Genomic DNA, 19163 nt, shown 5'->3' on the forward strand with positions numbered 1-19163 from the left:
CTCTACAAAAAAAATTTAAAAATTAGCAAGGTGTAGTGGCATGTACCTGGTTGTAGTAATCCCAGCTACCCAGGCTGATGCAGGAGGATTGCTTGAGCCCAGGAATTTGAGGAATTTGATACAGTGAGCTATGATCGTATCTACACTCCAGCCTGGGTGACAGAATGAGACACTGTCTCTATTTAAAAAAAAAAAAAAAAGTTTATATAATTGCCAAGGTAGGTTATGTCTGTCTTTAGTAAGTATGCAACTCCTTGGAATGCAGACCATTTTTAAAATTTATTAATGTATTTTTATTTTGCCTGGTTCTGTGAAAATATATGTTTATGAGGTTGATCTGTTCTCTTCTACCATAGGGTATTAAGCAGGCTGGGCATTGTTCATGTTGTGATATGAAGTGTCTTGAACATGGCTTTTTTTGGCTTAATATTTTAATGTCTAATTGATCTTTAACGATCGGAGGACTTTCAATAATAATACTTTTTTTTATATAATTGTATAATTTGGAAAGCATTTACAGTTGACCCTTGAACAACAAGGGGGCTAGAGGTGCTGACCCCCTAAACAGTCAGAAATCTGAGTATAACTTGACTCCCTAAAAACTTAACGACTAAAAGCCTATCACTGACTGGAAGCCTTACTGATAACATAAACAGTCACTTAACACATAGGTTGTATGTTATACGTATTTTATACCATGTTCTTAAAGTAAGCTAGAGAAAAGAAAATGTTATTAAGAAAATCATAAGGAAGAGAAAATATATTTACTATTCATTAGTGGAAGTGGATCATCATAAAGGTCTTCATCTGTGTCATCTTCACATTGAGTAGGCTGAGGAGGAGGAGGAGGAGGAGGGATTGGTCTTGCTGTCTCTTCCGGGTGGCAGAGGCGGAGGAGAAGGTGAGTGGGGAGGCAGGAGAGGCAGGTGAAACTTGTATTGAAAAGCAGCTGTGTATAAGTGGACCTGTGCAGTTGAAACTCATGTTCAAGGGTCAGCTGTATGTGTACCTTGTAAAGTTAAAACGGATTTTTTTTTGTTTGTTTATACGTTAGATGCCTCTGGATATTTTAAGGAATGAGTTGTCCAATAGTATCCTGTCGTTACAACCAGAGCCTGAGATACCGCCAGAACTGCCTCCACCAAGACCACATGTCCGATGCTGTTGATTTCCTACTTTGGAGACAAAGTGGAAATGATTCCTGGAAAGGGGAAAAAACGTTCTATTCTGCACTACAATCATTTTGACAATTTCCTTTCGCACTTTGTAATCCAAGTCAGAGCTATACACTAACTTGTAAATATGCATATATGCAATCCTGGGTAAGTTTTGGTTATAAGTTACCTATTTCCCTCCAAATTATTATATTTCATTCATTACCCCAGTGTCTAGTGTACATACACTGGGAAACCTAGTACTTCTAATATGAAGAATGGGAGAAATGAAAGGTATAATGTTTCTTGAAATAAATAATATAATTGTCCTTATTAATTATATTATGAGGACAGAAGATATTCTGATAAGAGAGAACGTGGTGCTTTGCTTACCGTTTTAAAGAAAATTTGTAAAACTAAAGACTTTTTGAAAAAAAGCTATCTTAAGTGCTTTTTCTTTATTTACAAGACATTTCCCCCAGTGGTAGCATCTGAAGTATTGGAGTGTTTCTGCCACGAAGCAAAGCTCCATTCATGGCCGTCATGGAAGGTTATTTATTAATGTTACATAATGGTAGAATATTACTAGTTAGAGGGTTGGATTTGACTTGGTCCTAAGGCCACAGAATCTCTCTCATGGCTTCCTAAGGGATGTACCTTTATGCTTTTAAGAACTACAAAGATTCAATAAAGAAAGAAATGTTTTTGAAACTATAGAAAAAGATTTTAAAACACGCTGCTGTCCTAAACAAATCCTGTTTAAAGGAATTTTAAAGAGATGCATTTTACTATATCAAAGAACATACGTGTATTTGCCTAAACACTCTGTACCTTTGTAATGATAAAACTTCCCCCTTCTTTACGGTGAAGCTTATTCTGATTAAGCCTAGACTGTGTTCTTTTTTTTTTTTTTTTTTTTTTTTTTTTTTTTTTTTTTTTTTTTTGGTCTGATGATGAATTTGTGAACTCTATCTTTGGTATATCTTTTATTAAACTGCACTGTTTTGTTTAGTCAAGGTAATTAAGTAATTATGTATTTGAATAACTTGGTGTGTCTTGAGTGTTGTGGTATGAAAAGCATTGTGGTCTTTCTACACTAATGAAGTGCAAATAAAATTTTGTATTTATGAATGAAGTTGAGTTGCCATATTTATTTATCCAATTATAAATTGTATATATGACAGTATTCTCCATGAGCTCCACAGCTTAATCCTTTTGAGTGTTTAGACAGGAAAAGCATAGTCCTCCACTGGGGAAAAGAGTTTGATGTTTTCTCAAAGGGCTGAACATAGAGCTACCATATGATCCAGCAATTTGACTTCTAGGTTTATATCTAAAAGATCGAAAGCAGAGACTCAAACAGGTACTTGTACACCAGTGCCCACGGCAGCATTGTTCACGAGAGCCGAAAGGTGGAAACCGCCCCAATGTCCATCAGCAAAATAATGGATAAACAAAATGTGTGTTCTACAAACAATGGGATATTCATCCTTAAAAAGAAAGGAAATGCTGTCACATGTGCAGCGCGGATGAATCTTGAAGACATTACGCTGAGTGAAATAAGCAGGCCCAGAAGGACTGATACTGCCTGATTCCACTTACATGAGGTATATGGAGCACCCAGATTCATAGAGATGACGTAGAATGGTGGTTCCCAGGAGGGCGGGAGAGGGGATGAAGCATTGTTTCTGGGTGCAGAGTTTCAGCTGGGGAAGATGGACGGTGGCGATGGCAGCACAGCAGTGTGCAGGGACTTCTTTAGTGCCACTGAGCTGTAGCAAACTGGATTGTCGTGTCCTCCAGAAAAGATTTTTAGTTCGTGTATATGCCTTTATCAGCCACAGTCGATTACGACTGCTGGTGATTTACCTACCCTCACCTCCCACCCTGCCCTTCTGTGTTCTGCTCTGTGATGCTGGGGTTGGGACTCCCAACTATATTTGCCAAACCCTCTTGCTCTTCCTGTTAAAATCTGCTGATGGAGAGCTAGAAGTTGGCAGGAGGGAAGAAGGGGCTTGCTTGCCATTTTTCCGTTCCCATCAGCCTCCCTGGAGCAACAACAGACCACCAGCTCTAGCCTCCAGCTTCCTGCGGGACCCCTGGCTCCAACCTCACTGTGCCCTGTCAGAGGTACCAGTGGCATCTGGGCTTCTCAGTGTCCTGCCAGCTGGGTCATTCCAGCCCCTGCTGGACTGTACCCTCAGCAGTCCCTCTGCCCCCCAGGGTCCTGCTCCTCCGAGTCTGCACTCCCCTCCTCAGAAGCTTGGACCCAGTCTTGCAGGGGTCCTTCCTCTGAGCTCCTGAGTTGTGGCAGTGCCCTCCCCTTTTTGCCCCCAGGGCCCTAGGGTTGGTAGCTGCTTCCTTCACTTCATTGGTTTAGCATTTGAACAACCATGTAGTCCCCTGTATTAAATCCTTCTGTTTAGATATCCCGCATTGGTGTCTGTCTTCCTGACTGATAGAGGACCTGGAACCAGGAGTGATCTCAAGAAACAGATCCTCAAAGATGAGTTCAACAAAAAAAACGGTGGTGTTTGGCATGGGCATTTGTAGCTCATTCAGCAATCTGTGGTCTATTTTATGTTTACAACTCAATCTTAGTTTCTGCATTTTCAGTCTGTCAACTGTAGTATTAACAAAAGTGCTATCCTTGTTTAGTAGGATAGTTTGGGGGTTACAGTTGGACTTTGCAAGAAGGCAGTGTGGTTTATAGCTCTTGAGTTTAATTTTTGTTGTCGTTGTTGAGTTTTGCTCTTGTTGCCCAGACTGGAGTGCAATGGCGTGATCTCAGCTCAGTGCAACCTCCACCTCCCAGGTTCAAGCAATTCTCCTGCCTCAGCCTCCCGAGTAGCTGGGATTACAGGTGCACGCCACCACACCCAGCTAATTTTGTATTTTTAGTAGAGATGGGGTTTCACCATGTTGACCAGGCTGATCTCAAACTCCTGACCTCAGGTGATCCACCCACCTTGGCCTCCCAAAGTACTGGGATTACAGGTGTGAACCACTGGCCCAGACTGATTAAATTTTTATTCTTAGGTTTTCCAGTAAGTATACTTTTGGGTTTTTCTTCCAATGAGTACGATTTGTGAGCGTGGGACTAGAGCTAAATTTTCTAGACTGTTAATTCCCACATTGTCATAGGGGCTGGTTATTCAGTATCTGCTTGGCCAGTGGTTCTCATGCTGTCAGTGGCCTGTCTCACCTTTGGACAGCCCAGCAGTCCATTGTCTGATCAGCTGAAATGCAGTTTGATCCCTCTAGATTTCTGTTTTGTCTTTTGAGACACACTCATCCAGGCTGGTGCAGTGGTGCGATCTCGGCTGACTGCAACCTCTTCCTCCCAGGTTCAAGCAATGCTCCACACTCAAGCCACTCACGTAGCCGGGATTGTAGGTGCCTTCCACCATGACCAGCTAATTTTTGTATTTTTAGTGGAGACGGGTTTCACCATGTTGGCCAGGCTGGTCTTGAACTCCTGACCTCAAGTGATCTGTCTGCCTTGGCCTCCCAAAGTGCTGGGATTACAGGTGTGAGCTACTGTGCCCGGCCATTCTTCTAGATTTTTTAAGGGAACTGTCCTATTGTGTTTTTGTTGTTGTTGTTGTTGTTGTTTTGCTTTTGAGAGAGGGTCTCTATCTGTCACCCAGGCTGGAGTGCACTCGTGCGATCATGGCTCATTGTAGCCTCGACCTTTCCAGGCTCAGGTGAGCCTCCCGTCTCAGCCTCCTGAGTAGCTGGGACTACAGGTGCACGCACCTTGTCTATTTTTTGTAGAGATGGGGGTCTCACTATGTTGCCCAGGCTGGTCTCAAACTCAGGCTCAAGCGATCTGCCTGCCTCCGCCTCCCAAAGTGCTGGGATTACAGGTATGAGCCACCATGCCCAGCTAGGAACTGTCTTTTTGAAGAACAGTCGCAAGTAATATTTTATACGTTTATAGCTCATTGTCCTAGGTTAGTGTCTTATTTGGTTCTCACAGAGACTCTGAAGTAAATAGAGCCAGATATAAAAGGAATTTTCAGTCATCCATGTAGATGGAGAGGAGCATAATCTAAGAACAAATAAAAACCACCCAAGACCACAAGATCTGCAGATTTTGTTGGGGCCACAAAGTTGTATTTCTGGTCTGTGAACTGGATGCTAAACATCCTGGAGTTGAGCAGCTTTGTGGAGAATTACAGTGGATTTCTTGTAAAGCAGTGGGGAAACAACAGGTTCATTCTCTGTACACTCATCTCCAGCTGGTTCTCTTTCTATCTCCTGGGGCTTCAAAATGGAGTCACTAGTGGGCAGCTGGTTTAATTTAACTAATTGCTTAAAGTCTTTACAATGAAATGTGAGGGGTGAATATTAGTTGATGACAACAGAACAGGAGATTTACCTCGCATGTCTCCAGCTCTCAAACAAGCTTCCTCAAATTAGGTCTTTTTCCATGAGTGACTTACATTACCAGGGAGAGGGAAAGTCCTTGTGTATAGATTACGCGTTGCCTAGAATTTGTAACTTGGCTTACAAGCTGCATAAGAGTGATGAGTGGGTCAGGACGTGATAGAAGGAACCCATTATTTCTGTTGTGACACTGTAGTAACAGTTGAAATTTGCTGTGTGGTTGCTTTGTGCAAGGCCTAGATCAATACAACGACCCTCGAGTTTCAGGTGCAAGGGATGGCGGATCCATAACTAGAACACGCGGCAGAGCAGCCTCTGTGAATCCACGGAAGACGCACCAAGTCCTGGGGAAGCTCAGAGTAGAGAGAGGTCAGGGCCCAACTGTCAGTGTACAGTGGCCCAGCCTCTACCTGTACACCGATGACTTCCAAGACTAGTGAAGACTACTCCTGAACTCCAAATACACCCATCAAACTACCTACTGGCATCTCCACCTTGGTTTTATGGACACCTCTAAATCAACTGACATTAAAACTGATATTACCTTCTATTTATAAACCAGCCCCCTCCAACTTGTCCTCTTATATTTCATACCTCAGTGAAAGTAACCACTATTTACCTAGCTTCCCAAATCTGAAACTTGGGAGTCCTTGACTTCTTTTCTATTCCCTACATCCGATTGGTCTTCAAGCCCCATTGAATTAAATCCTCTTCTCCAACCTTCTGCATTAGTTGAAGTCCCTAGTTTCTCATTTGCATCCTTGCAGCAGTCACTGATCTATACATATATTCTAATTATTCTCCCTGTACACAAAAATACTCGCAAGCTTACTGTGACAAGTCATCAAACAGATTCAGAAATTCCATTTGTCATCCAGATTCAGAAATTCCATTTTCTCTGGACTTTCCCCAAATGAAGAGATTTTTTTTCCTCAACTGTACCCAAGATTTAGAGATAGTTCCTCTAATTGCTTGTAGACGGTATTGTTTTGTCTATTTAACTGAGTCTCAGGAAGATTAGGCAACTTGCCCAGATCTCTGTAGCTAGCAAGGGGTAGAGCTGGGTCAGAGCCCCAGGTCTTTAGACTCCTTGCTGTCTTCTCACAGTCTGAACAGATTTACTAACGTTTTGGCTTAAGTATATAGTAGCATGTTCCTTATTTATTTGTAATAACCATCCAAGCAGGATTTTGACTTCCCACCAACTAGAAGATGGCCCAAATGGCTTATGTTCTTAGTGTCATTTAAATTTGCTAGCAATCACTATATGCACAAATCATTATAAGATGAGCACTGACTTTAAATGTCTATAGAAAACAACTAGCAAGATGCTGGGTTTTTTTTTCCTTTTTTAAGACAGGGTCTCGCTCTGTTGCTGAGGCTGGAGTGCAGTGGCATGATCACAGCTCACTGCAACCTTGACCTCCCTGGTCTCTGGTGATTCTCCTGGCTCAGCCTCTCGAGTAGCTAGGACTACAAGCATGTGCCACCATGCCCAGCTTTTTTTTTTTTTTTTTTTTTTCTGTAGAAATGGGGTTTCACCATGTTGCCTAGGCTGGTCTTGAACTGGGCTCAAGTGATCTGCCCACCTCAGCCTCCCAAGTGCTGGGATTATAGGCGTGAGCTGCCACACCCGGCCAAGATGGTGAATTTAATCCAACTATATTAGCAATTACATTAACTATAAACAGTTTAAACTTACAAATTGAAAGAAGAAATTTGTCATACTGTTTTGTTGGTTTTGTTTTGTTTTTGTTTTTTTGAGACAGAGTCTTGCTCTGTCACCCAGTCTGGAGTGCAGTGGCATGATCTCAGCTCACTGCAACCTCCGCCTCCTGGGTTCAAGCTATTCTGCTGGCTCAGCTGCCCCAGTAGCTGGGATTACAGGCGCACACCACCATGCCCAGCTAATTTTTGTATTTTTAGTAGAGACGGGGTTTACCATATTGGCCAGGCTGGTCTCGAACTCCTGACCTCGTGATCCACCCACCTCAGCCTCCCAAAGTGCTGGGATTACAGATGTGAGGCACTGCACCTGGCTGTATTTTTTTTTTTAAAGACCTAATTATTTGCTGTCTACAATAAACCCACTTTAAGGATGAGTTAAAAGGATGAAAAAAGAGGTATCATGAAAACACGAATCAAAAGAAAGCTGAAGTGGTTCTATTGCTATCAGACAAAGCAGACTTTAGAACAAGAAATATTTCCAGGAAAAAGTGGAGCATTATATAATAATAAAGGAGTCAATTCACTGACATGACAGTAATCTTAAATGTGTATGCACCTAACAACAGAGCTTCGAAAGACATGAAACAAAAATTGATAAAACTACAAGTAATTGACAGATTCAGAATTACAGTTGGAGATTTCAATGCTCCTTTCTCAGTCAACAGAACAAGTCAATAGCAAATCAGTGAGGCTACAGAAGACCTATTTGACTTATGTGGCCTAATTAAACTCAACCTAATTGAACACTATCAAAAGAAAAATTTGTATTTTCAAATATACATGAAACATTCACCAAGATAGATTACATTCTGTGCCATAAATTTTTTAAAAAATAATATAAAGTATGTATTATGCCACAGCTGAATTAAACTGGAATAATAATAACAGAAAATATTTGGAAAATCTCCAAATATGTGGAAGATAAACAATACACTTTCAAATAATCCATATGTAAAAAAGAAGTTAAAAGGGAAATTTTAAAGTACTTCTAATGGAACAAAAACCCAAATTCAATATATCAAAATTTGTATGATGACCAGCCTGGCCAACAAGGTGAAACCTAGTCTCTACTAAAAATACAAAAATTAGCTGGGCATGGTGGCAGGCACCTGTAATTCCAGCTACTCGGGAGGCTAAGGCAAGAGAATCGCTTGAACCCAGGAGGCAGAAGTTTCAGTGAGCCGAGACTGCGCTACTGCACTCCAGCTGGGTGACATGAGTGAAACTCTGTCTCAAAAAAAAAAAAAAAAAATTGTGTGATGTAGCTGAAGTCGTGCACAGAGGAAATTTATAACATTAAGTGCTTATATTAGAAAAGAAAAAAGTCTTGGATAACTTATCTAAATTTTCACTTTAAGAAACTAGGAAAAGAAGCGGTAATGAAACCCAATGCAAGCAGAAGAAAAGAAATAATAAAGATGAAGCATAACTCAATGAAATTAAGAACATAATAATAGAGAAAAACCAAAACTATCCAAAGAACTCAGCAGCAACAAAAACCCCAATTAACAAATGTGCAAGGACTTGATAGACATTTCTCCGAAGAAAATATGCAAATAGCCAACAGCACATGGAAAGATGCTCAATGTCACTCATCATTAGGAAAATGCAGATTGAAACCACAAGATTCCACTTCACACCCATTAGGATGGCAATTATATGTGAAAAAATAACAAGTGTTGGTGAAGATGTAGAGAATTTGGAACTCTTATGTATTGCTAAGTGGGATATAAAATAGTGTAGCCACTGTGGAAATTGTATGGTGATTCCTCAAAAAATCAGGTATAGAATTACCATATGACCCAGCAATGTCACTTCTGCGTATATACCCAAAAGAACCGAAAACAGGTACTCAAACAGATATTTATACATTCATGTTCATAGCAGCATTGTTCAAAATAGCCAAAAGGTGGAAACAAAGAAAGTGTCGATTGGTGGATGAATGGGTAAACAAAATCTGGCATGTACATACATGTACGATAATTAATGGAATATTAACTATTCAGCCTTAAAAAGAAGCAACTTTTCTTTCTTTCTTTTTTTTTAATTTTATTTATTGGGTGGCTCACGAGATGGCTGAATAGGAACAGCTCCAGTCTGCAGCTATGAACGAGATCAATGCAGGAGGCAGGTGATATCTGCATTTCCATCTGAGGAACCCAGCTCATCTCACTGGGACTGGTTAGATAGTGGGTGCAGCCCCTGGAGGGCAAGCAGAAGCAGGGTGGGGTGTCACCTCACTCGGGAAGCACAAGGGGTCAGGGAACTCCCTCCCCTAGCCAAGGGAAGCCATGAGGGACTCTGCCATGAGGAACAGTGCATTCCGGCCCAGATACTATGCTTTTCCCATGGTCTTTGCAACCTGCAGACCAGGAGATTCCCTTGGGTGCCTACACCACCAGGGCCCTGGGTTTCAAGCACAAAACTGAGTGGCTGTTTGGGCAGACACTGAGCTAGCTGCAGCTTTTTTCATACTCCAGTGGAGCCTGGAATGCCAGTGAGACACAACCATTCACTCCTGTGGAAAGGGGGCTGAAGCCAGGGAGCCAAGTGGTCTAGCTCAGCAGATCCCACCCCCACGGAGCCCAGCAAGCTAAGATCCACTGGCTTGAAATTCTTGCTGCCAGCACAGCAGTCTGAAGTCGACCTGGGGCATTAGAGCTTGGTGGGGGGAGGGGTGTTCACCATTACTGAGGCTTGAGTAGGCAGTATTCCCTTCACAGTGTAAACAAAGCCCCTGAGAAGTTTGGACTGGGCGGAGCCCACCGCAGCACCGCAAAGCCACTGTAGCCAGACTGCCTCTCTAGATTCCTCCTCAATGGGCAGGGCATCTCTGAAAGAAAAGCAGCAGCCCCAGTCAGGGGCTTATAGATAAAACTCTCATCTCCCTGGGACAGAGCACCTGGGGGAAGGGGCGGCTGTGGGCGCAGCTTCAGCAGATTTAAACGTTCCTGCCTGCTGGCTCTGAAGAGAGCAGCAGATCTCCCAGCACAGTGCTCAAGATTTGCTAAGGGACAGACTACCTCCTCAAGTGAGTCCCTGACCCCCATGACTCCTGACTGGGAGACACCTCCCAGCAGGAGTCGACAGACACCTTATACAAGAGAGCTCCAGCTAGCATCTGGCAGGTGCCCCTCTGGGAGGAAGCTTCCAGAAGAAGGAACGTGCAGCAATCTTTGCTGTTCTGCGGCCTCTGCTGGTGATACTCAGGCAAACAGGGTCTGGAGTTGACCTCTAGCAAACTCCAGCAGACCTGTAGCAGAGGGGCCTGACTGTTAGAAGGAAAACCAACAAACAGAAAGGAATAGCATCAACAGCAACAAAAAGGACATCCACAAAAAAAAAAACCCATCCAAAGGTCACCAGCATCAAAGACCAAAGGTAGATAAATCCACGAAGATGAGGAAAAACCAGTGCAAAAAGGCCGAAAACTCCAAACACAAGAACACCTCTTCTCCTCCAAAGGATCATAACTCCTCACCAGCAAGGGAACAAAACTGGATGGAGAATGAGTTTGATGAATTGACAGAAGTAGACTTCAGAAGGTGGGTAATAACAAAATCCTCTGAGCTAAAGGAGCATGTTCTAACCCAATGCAAGGAAGCTAAGAACCTTGAAAAAAGGTTAGAAGAATTGCTAACTAGAATAACCAATTTAGAGAAGAACATAAATGACCTGATGGAGCTGAAAAACACAGCACGAGAACTTTGTAAAGCATACATAAGTATCAATAGCCGAATCAATCAAGCAGAAGAAAGGATATCAGAGATTGAAGATCAACTTAATGAAATTAAGCATGAAGACAAGATTAGAGAAAAAAGAATGAAAAGGAACAAAGCCTCCAAGAAATATGGGACTATGTGAAAAGACCAAACCTGCGTTTGATTGGTGTAGCTGAAAGTGACAGGGAGAATGGAACCAAGTTACAAAACACTCTTCAGGATATCTAGGAGAACTTCCGCAACCTAGCAAGAGAGGCCAACATTCAAATTCAGGAAATACGGAGAACGCCACAAAGATACTCCTCAAGAAGAGCAACCCCAAGGCACATAATCATCAGATTCAGCAAGGTTGAAATGAAGGAAAAAATGTTAGGGGCAGCCAGACAGAAAGGTCGGGTTACCCACAAAGGGAAGCCCATCAGACTAACAGCAGATCTCTCTGCAGAAACCATACAAGCCAGAAGAAAGTGGGGCCCAATATTCAACATTCTTAAAGAATTTTCAACCCAGAATTTCATATCCAGCCAAACTAAGCTTCATAAGCGAAGGAGAAATAAAATCCTTTACAGACGAGGAAATGCTGAGAGATTTTGTCACCACCAGGCCTGCCTTACAAGAGCTCCTGAAGGAAGCACTAAATATGGAAAGGAAAAACTGGCACCAGCCACTGCAAAAACATTCCAAATTGTAAAGACCATCAACACTATGAAGAAACTGCATCAATTAATAGGCAAAATAACCAGCTAGCATCATAATGATAGGATCAAGTTCACACATAACAATATTAACATAAATGTAAATGGGCTAAATACCCCAATTAAAAGACACAGAGTGGGCCAGGCACAGTGGCTCATGCCTGTAATCCCAGCACTTTGGGAGGCTGAGGTGGGTGAATCACCTGAGGTCAGGAGTTCGAGACCACCCTGGGCAATATGGCGAAACCCTGTCTCTACTAAAAATACAAAAAATTAGCTGGACATGGTGGCATGCACCTGTAATCCCAGCTACTCAGGAGGCTGAAGCAGGAGAATCACTTGAACCGGGGAGGCAGAGGTTGCAGTGAGCCAAGATCACACCACTGTACTCCAGCCTGGTGATGGAGCAAGACTCCATCTCAAAAAGAAAAAAAAGCAAACAAGCAAGCAAGCAGTGGGAAAGCAAGGAAGCAGTGGTTTCTGCCCATAGGCAGAGACCCCAACAATAGGTGAGAGGAAGTGAGGGCTATGGGCTGGGAGACAAGAGTGAAACTCCGTCTCAAAAAAAAAAGTCACACACTGGCAAATTGGATAAAGAGTCAAGACCCATCAGTGTGCTGTATTCAGGAGACCCATCTCATGTGCAAAGACACACATAGGCTCAAAATAAAGGGATGGAGGAATATTTACTAAGCAAATGGAAAGCAAAAAAAAAAGCAGGGGTTGCAATCCTAGTCTGATAAAACAGACTTTAAACCAACAAAGATCAAAAAGATAAAGAAGGACATTACATAATGGTAAAGGGATCAATGCAGCAAGAAAAGCTACCTATCCTAAATATATATGCACCCAATACAGGATTACCTAGATTCATAAAGCAAGTTCTCAGAGACCTACAAAGAGACTTAGACTCCCACACAATAAAATGGGAGACTTTAACACCCCACTGTCAATATTAGACAGATCAACAAGGCAGAAAATTAACAAGAACCAATGACAGAAACCACACGATTATCTCAATAGATGCAGAAAAGGCCTTTGATAAAATTCAACACCACTTCATGCTAAAAACTCTAGCTAAACTAGGTATTGATGGAACATATCTCAAAATAATAAGAGCTATTTATGACACACCCACAGCCAATATCATACTGAATGGGCAAAAGCTGGAAGCATTCCCTTTGAAAACCGGCACAAGACAAGGATGCCCTCTCTCACCACTCCTATTCAACATAGCATTGGAAGTTCTGGCCAGGGCAATCAGGCAAGATAAATAAATAAAGGGTATTCAATTAAGAAAAGAGGAAGTCAAATGGTCTCTGTTGTATATTTAGAAAACCCCATCACCTCAGCCCAAAATCTCCTTAAGCTGATAAGCAACTGCAGCAAAGTCTCAGGAAACAAAATCAATGTGCAAAAACCACAAGCATTCCTATACACCAATAATAGACAAACAGAGCCAAATCGTGAGTGAACTCCCATTCACAATTGCTACAAAGAGAATAAAATACCTAGGAATCCAACTTACAATGGATGTGAAGGACCTCTTCAAGGAGAACTACAAACCACTGCTCAAGGAAATAAAAGAGGACACAAACAAATGGAAAAACATTCCATGCTCATGGATTGGAAGAATCAATATCATGAAAATGACCATACTGCCCAAAGTAATTTATAGATTCAATGCTATCCCCATCAAGCTACCATTGACTTTCTTCACAGAATTAGAAAAAACTACTTTAAATTTCATAAGAACCAAAAAAGAGCCTGTATGGGCAAGACAATCCTAAGCAAAAAGAACAAATCTGGAGGCATCACATTACCTGACTTCAAACTATACTACAAGGCTACAGTAACCAAAACAGCATGGTACTGGTACCAAAACAGATATATAGATTGATGGAACAGAACAGAGGTCTCAGAAATAACACCACACATCTACAACCATCTGATCTTTGACAAACTTGACGAAAACAAGCGATGGGGAAAGGATTCCCTATTTAATAAATGGTGTTGGGAAAACTGGCTAGCCAAATGCAGAAAACTGAAACTGGACCCCTTCCTTGCACCTTATACAAAAATTGGATGGATTAAAGACTTAAACATAAGACCTAAAGCCATAAAAACCCTAGAAGAAAACCTAGGCAATACCATTCAGGACATAGGCATGGGCAAAGACTTCATGACTAAACCACCAAAAGCAATGTCAACAAGAACCAAAATTGACAAATGAGATCTAATTAAATTAAAGAGCTTCTGCACAGCAAAAGAAACTATCATCAGAGTGAACAGGCAACCTACAGGATGGAATAAAATTTTTGCAATCTACCCATCTGACAAAGGGCTATTATCCAGAATCTATAAGGAACTTAAACAAATTTACAAGAAAAAAACAACCCCATCAAAAAGTAGGTGAAGGATATGAACAGACACTTCTCAAAAGAAGACAATTTATGTGGTCAACAAACACATGAAAAAAAAGCTCATCATCACTGGTCATTAGAGAAATGCAAATCAAAACCACAGTGAAATATCATCTCATGCCAGTTAGAATGGCGATCATTAAAAAGTCAGGAAACAACAGATGCTGGAGAGGATGTGAAGGAATAGAAATGCTTTTACACTGTTTGTAGGAGTGTAAATTAGTTCAACCATTGTGGAAGACAGTGTGGCGATTCCTCAAGGATCTAAAACAAGAAATACCGTTTTACCCAGCAATCCCATTATTGGGTATATACCCAAAGGATAATAAATCATTCTACTATAAAGACACATGCACATATATGTTTATTGCAGCACTATTCACAATAGCAAAGACTTGGAACCCACCCAAATGCCTATCAATGATGGACTGGCTAAAGAAAATGTGGCACATATACACCATGGAATACTATGCAGCCATAAAAAAGGATGAGTTCATGTCCTTTGCAGGGACATGGATGAAGCTGGAAACCATTATTCTCAGCAAACTAACACAGGAACAGAAAACCAAACACCACGTGTTCTCACTCATAAGTGGGAGTTGAACAATGAGAACACATAAACACAGGGGTGGGAACATCAAACACCAGGGCCTGCCACAGGGTGGCGAGCTAGGGGAGGGGTAGCATTTAGGAGACATACCTAATGTAGATGAGGGGTTGATGGGTGCAGCAAACCGCCATGGCATGTGTATACCTGTGTAACAAATCTGCACATTCTACACATGTACCCCAGAACTTAAAGTATAATAAAAAAATTTTAAATTAATTAAAATTGAATAATGTATTTTAATTTATTAAATAAAACTTGAACTTCAAAAAAAATTATTTTTATTTATTTATTTATTTATTTATTGAGAAGGAGTCTCAGTGGGTTGCCCAGGCTGGTCTTGAACTCCTGGCCTCAAGTGATCCTCCCACCTCGGCCTCCCAAAATGCTTGTTACAGGTGTGAACCATCATGCCCAGCGAAATTAACACAACCGATAAGCCTCTAGCCACACTCACCAAGAAATACAGAGAGAAGACGATTATCCATAACTGAAATGGAAGAGGAGAAATCATTACAGGCACTGAAGAATAATAAGGAGGCCAGTTGCAGTGGCTCATGCCTGTAATCCCAGCACTTTGGGAGGCCGAGGCGGGCAGATCATGAGGTCAGGAGATCCAGACCATCCTGACCAACATGGTGAAACCCCATCTCTCAAAAATTAGCTGGGCGTGGTGCCACATGCCTGTAATCCCAGCTACTCGGGAGGCTGAGACAGGAGAATAGCTTGAACCAGGGAGTCAGAGGTTGCAGTGAGCTGAGATTGCACCACTGCACCCCAGCCTGGCAACAGAGTAAGACTCTGTCTCAAAAAATAATAATAATAAATAATAATAAGGAAACAGCACAAACTATCCTAAGCCTATAAATTTAACAACTTAGATTAAATGGACAAATTTCCTAAAGAACACAAACTGCCAAAGCTATTTAAAAAAAAAAAAACATAGGGAACTTTCTCAACCTGGTAAATGTTACCTACAAAACAACAGCTAGCCTTATCCTTGATGGTGGAAGACTTGTCTTAACTCTAAGAATAGGAACAATACAAGGATTTTTTTAAAAAGTTAAGCATCATACTAAAGTTTATAGCCTGCAATAAGGCAAGAAGAAGAAATTAACGGAAACAAATAAATAAAACAAATAAAACTATTCGCATGATTGTCTGCATAGAAATTCACAAAGAATTTACAGCAAAGCTGTTAGAACTAATAAGTGCGTTTAGCTAGGTCACAGGATACAAGGTCAACATACAAAAATTAATTGTATTTTTATTTACTATCAATAAACACTTGAAGGTTGGATTTTTTCAAAGTACTATTTAAACAGCACGCACACACCTACACACACAACAAATTATATATGTAAGATCTACACGCTGAAGACTACAAAATTCTGATTAAAAAAATCAAAGACCTAAACAAGTGGAGAGAGATACACCAATCCAATCAAAATCCCTACAGGATTTTTTGTAGAAATCAACAAGCTAATTCTAAACTTTATATATAAAAACAAATAAACTAGAAAGGCTAAAGCAATTTTGAAGAACAACAAAGTTGGAAGATCCACACTATCTAATTTCAAGACTTAACTATAAATCGACAGTAATCAAGGCATAAGGGATAAGCCAGGGATGGTGGTGCGTGCATGTAGTCCCAGCTACTCAGGAGGTTGAGGCAGAAGGATGGCCTGGAGTTCAAGACCAGTCTGAGCAACACAGTGAGACCCTGTCTCAAAAAAAAAAAAAGAAAGAAAGAAAGAAAGAAAGAAAGAAAGAAAGAAAGAAAGAAAGAAAGAAAGAAAAGAAAAAAAATAGTGGAGAAGAAAGGATAGACATACAGATGACTGGAACAGAATAGAGTCATACATATATGGTGAATTGACTTTCAACAAGTTTGGAAAGAGGCAATTCAATGGAGAAAGGATAGATTTTTCAGTGAATAGCTGGAACAATTAGATATTCATATGTAAAAAAAATGTACCTCAATCTACGCCTTGCACTCTCTACAAAAAAGATCATAGACCTAAGCATGACACCTAAAGCTAAAAATCCTCTAGAAGAAAACAGGGAGAAATCTTTCTTTCAGCAAAGTCCTAACCCCACTTGGCTTTGTGAGGTAGGTTGATAGAATTGTTGTGACAATAAGGGAGATAGCAAAATGAAGGTTACTAACATAGTCCCTGCTCTTTTAAATATCTGTTGCTTTGTCAGTTTCCTTCTCTTTCCCCCCATGACTGATCCCAAAATAACTTACCACAGCCTATTTGACAAAAGCCAATGGAAGTATCAAGTGATTGTGAATAAATTGAATACTAAGACCCGGCTGGTCATCTCGTGAATCTAGCATTTTCATTAGGTTCTTAATTTTCCACCAGAAATGACAGCAGTCCTACCATCTGTTTGGTGCTTTTAAAACATACGGATTGCTCTTAATCAGCTACACAAATTGCCCACACTCCAAGCTGTTGAAATTGAATACCAGCTTCAAATACCTGCTGCTCAACTTTATCGAAAATCCCGTGGAGCATAGTTTGAAAGTCATACTCTCTGTTCTTTTCTTTTAGCATTATTTCCCAGGTCAAGACAGCTCAGACACAGCTGCATGAAGAAACCCATGGTCTTGACTCCAGGAATTGTCTTCTGACTTGGTGTCATGCCTTCATCCAAAATGAAACAACTTTAGGAAACCTCTCATGGAATCCATTATTACCTTTAGTGAATACACTGTAAACCTGCATTTCAACTTATTTAGTTTACTTTTTTATAGTGTGTATGTTCATTAAGCCACCTCAAATCTCTTGGGAAACTATATGGACTCTAAATAATCCTGGTGTTATAATAATCGCTGAGGAGTTGGTGCAATTATACAAAATTTCCACTAGGAGGAGGCAGAGCACGAATGATAAAAAATTCAGGTTAGACTATCATTTATACGTTGTACAATTATTTCTAAATTAGAATCTTTATTATTTTAAAAAACATACATAATTAAAATAGATCCTTTGAATATGTGGATGTGGTATAATTTAGAAGAGGAATGTAAATTTTAAAAATTATGCCCTACATTTTAGCTGCAATTTGAACAGACACAATGAATTCAGTTGGAACTCAGGGGAATTTCCCTAATTAGAAGGCTGAAGAATTTTAAGCACAAAGAAATGTTAAATGTAGACAGTGTACAATAATTTTTAAAGGTAACTCTTTTGATAACATTTATTGTTTGCTTTTTTTTTCTAGGTGCCATTTAAGGAAGACAAAACTGTATTTTATTCACTAAATCTACTTGGCATTTGCTTTTTAAACTTTAGTCATGGACTACACTCAAAGATTGTGACTCGTGACCTTGGCATATATCACAGGACCTGCTGAGGACAGGAGTGGGGGGTCTGTCAGTGACACAGCAGGGAGGGTCGTAGATAAGGAATCCACAAAAGACAGGGGTAGCCAAGGGCCACTTTCCACAAAGTGGCACTGTCCTCACAAGATTGGGAAAGTGTTTAAAGAAGACTCAGCCAGGCATGGTGGCTCATGCCTGTAATCCCAGCTCTTTGGGAAGCCAAGGAGGGCAGATCACCTGAGGTCAGAGGTTCGAGACCTGCTTGGCCAACACAGTGAAACCGTGTCTCTACAAAAAATACAAAAATTAGCTGGTGGGGTGGCAGCCACCTGTAGTCCCAGCTACTTGGAAGGCTGAGGCAGGAGAATCACTTGAACCCGCGAGGTGGAGTTGCAGTGAGCCAAGATCGCACCACTGCACTCCAACCTGGGCAACAGAGCAAGACCCCGTCTCAAAAAAAAAAAAAGAAGAAGAAGAAGAAGATTCAGCACTCTCAAGTGCAGTGTCAGCAGCAAAAAAGCAGGGAGTATCAAAAAGTCTCTGCAAAGGAAAAAGAGGGAGAATCGAGTAGATGCTCTAATGAATTCTGTACGTAGATAGCCTGGGCAAGGATACCATAGAGTTGGGATCTAACTAACACCAGCTAGAAGAGAGCATGATTTCTCTTGCTATCTGATGATAGGCAAGTAATGATTAGGTTTAGGGAGTCAGGAAAGGATACTAACTTTGCTCCAGTTCTCTCCTGGGCAATGGAGATTAGGCAGAGGGTATGCTTGGAGAGGCCTTTGTGGGGTGAGCAGGGGCAGGTGGTAAGAAATAAGAGTTGAGAAAAAGACAGTTCTCTCCTGGCCTCTTAGTGGGGAACAATCAGGGAAGCCAGCTGTGGCTCCCAGGGGCCCAGGGTCCTCTGGGCTGGGGGAACCAGGGCTTCTCAAGGGCGAGTTCCTCTGGGGGGTTTTGGTTTGGTTCTGTTTTGTATTGGTAAGCTGTCGTTGCAGTATAACATACATAAAGAAAAGAACACAAATCATGAGTTGTTCAACTGATAAATTTTCCTCACGATGACTGTATTCACGCCCGGGACAAGAAAAGGATCAGAACCTCAAGA

At 41.1% G+C, this 19163-nt stretch overlaps 1 protein-coding gene across 2 annotated transcripts in view, besides 2 other annotated features; it reads left to right on the forward strand.

The window, feature by feature from the left end:
• Positions 1–2289, forward strand: part of RAB12 (RAB12, member RAS oncogene family) — a 29947-nt gene extending 27658 nt beyond the window's left edge. For both annotated transcript variants that reach the window (NM_001025300.3, XM_006722300.4), the window contains exon 6: positions 1055–2289. In NM_001025300.3, the coding sequence (NP_001020471.3) occupies positions 1055–1168 (114 nt within the window). In that variant the 3' untranslated portion in view covers positions 1169–2289. The remainder of the gene's footprint in view (positions 1–1054) is intronic.
• Positions 9308–9930: an enhancer, noted in NCBI's record as "H3K27ac-H3K4me1 hESC enhancer chr18:8646400-8647022 (GRCh37/hg19 assembly coordinates)". NCBI's record gives its function as "activates a minimal SCP1, AML or CMV promoter by ChIP-STARR-seq in primed H9 embryonic stem cells {active_cell/tissue: H9 hESC(primed)}" and the evidence as "EXISTENCE:reporter gene assay evidence [ECO:0000049][PMID:30033119]".
• Positions 9931–10553: an enhancer, noted in NCBI's record as "H3K27ac-H3K4me1 hESC enhancer chr18:8647023-8647645 (GRCh37/hg19 assembly coordinates)". NCBI's record gives its function as "activates a minimal SCP1, AML or CMV promoter by ChIP-STARR-seq in primed H9 embryonic stem cells {active_cell/tissue: H9 hESC(primed)}" and the evidence as "EXISTENCE:reporter gene assay evidence [ECO:0000049][PMID:30033119]".

The sequence above is a fragment of the Homo sapiens genome, chromosome 18, assembly GCF_000001405.40.
Source record: "Homo sapiens chromosome 18, GRCh38.p14 Primary Assembly".
In the NCBI taxonomy this organism is placed as follows: domain Eukaryota; kingdom Metazoa; phylum Chordata; class Mammalia; order Primates; family Hominidae; genus Homo; species Homo sapiens.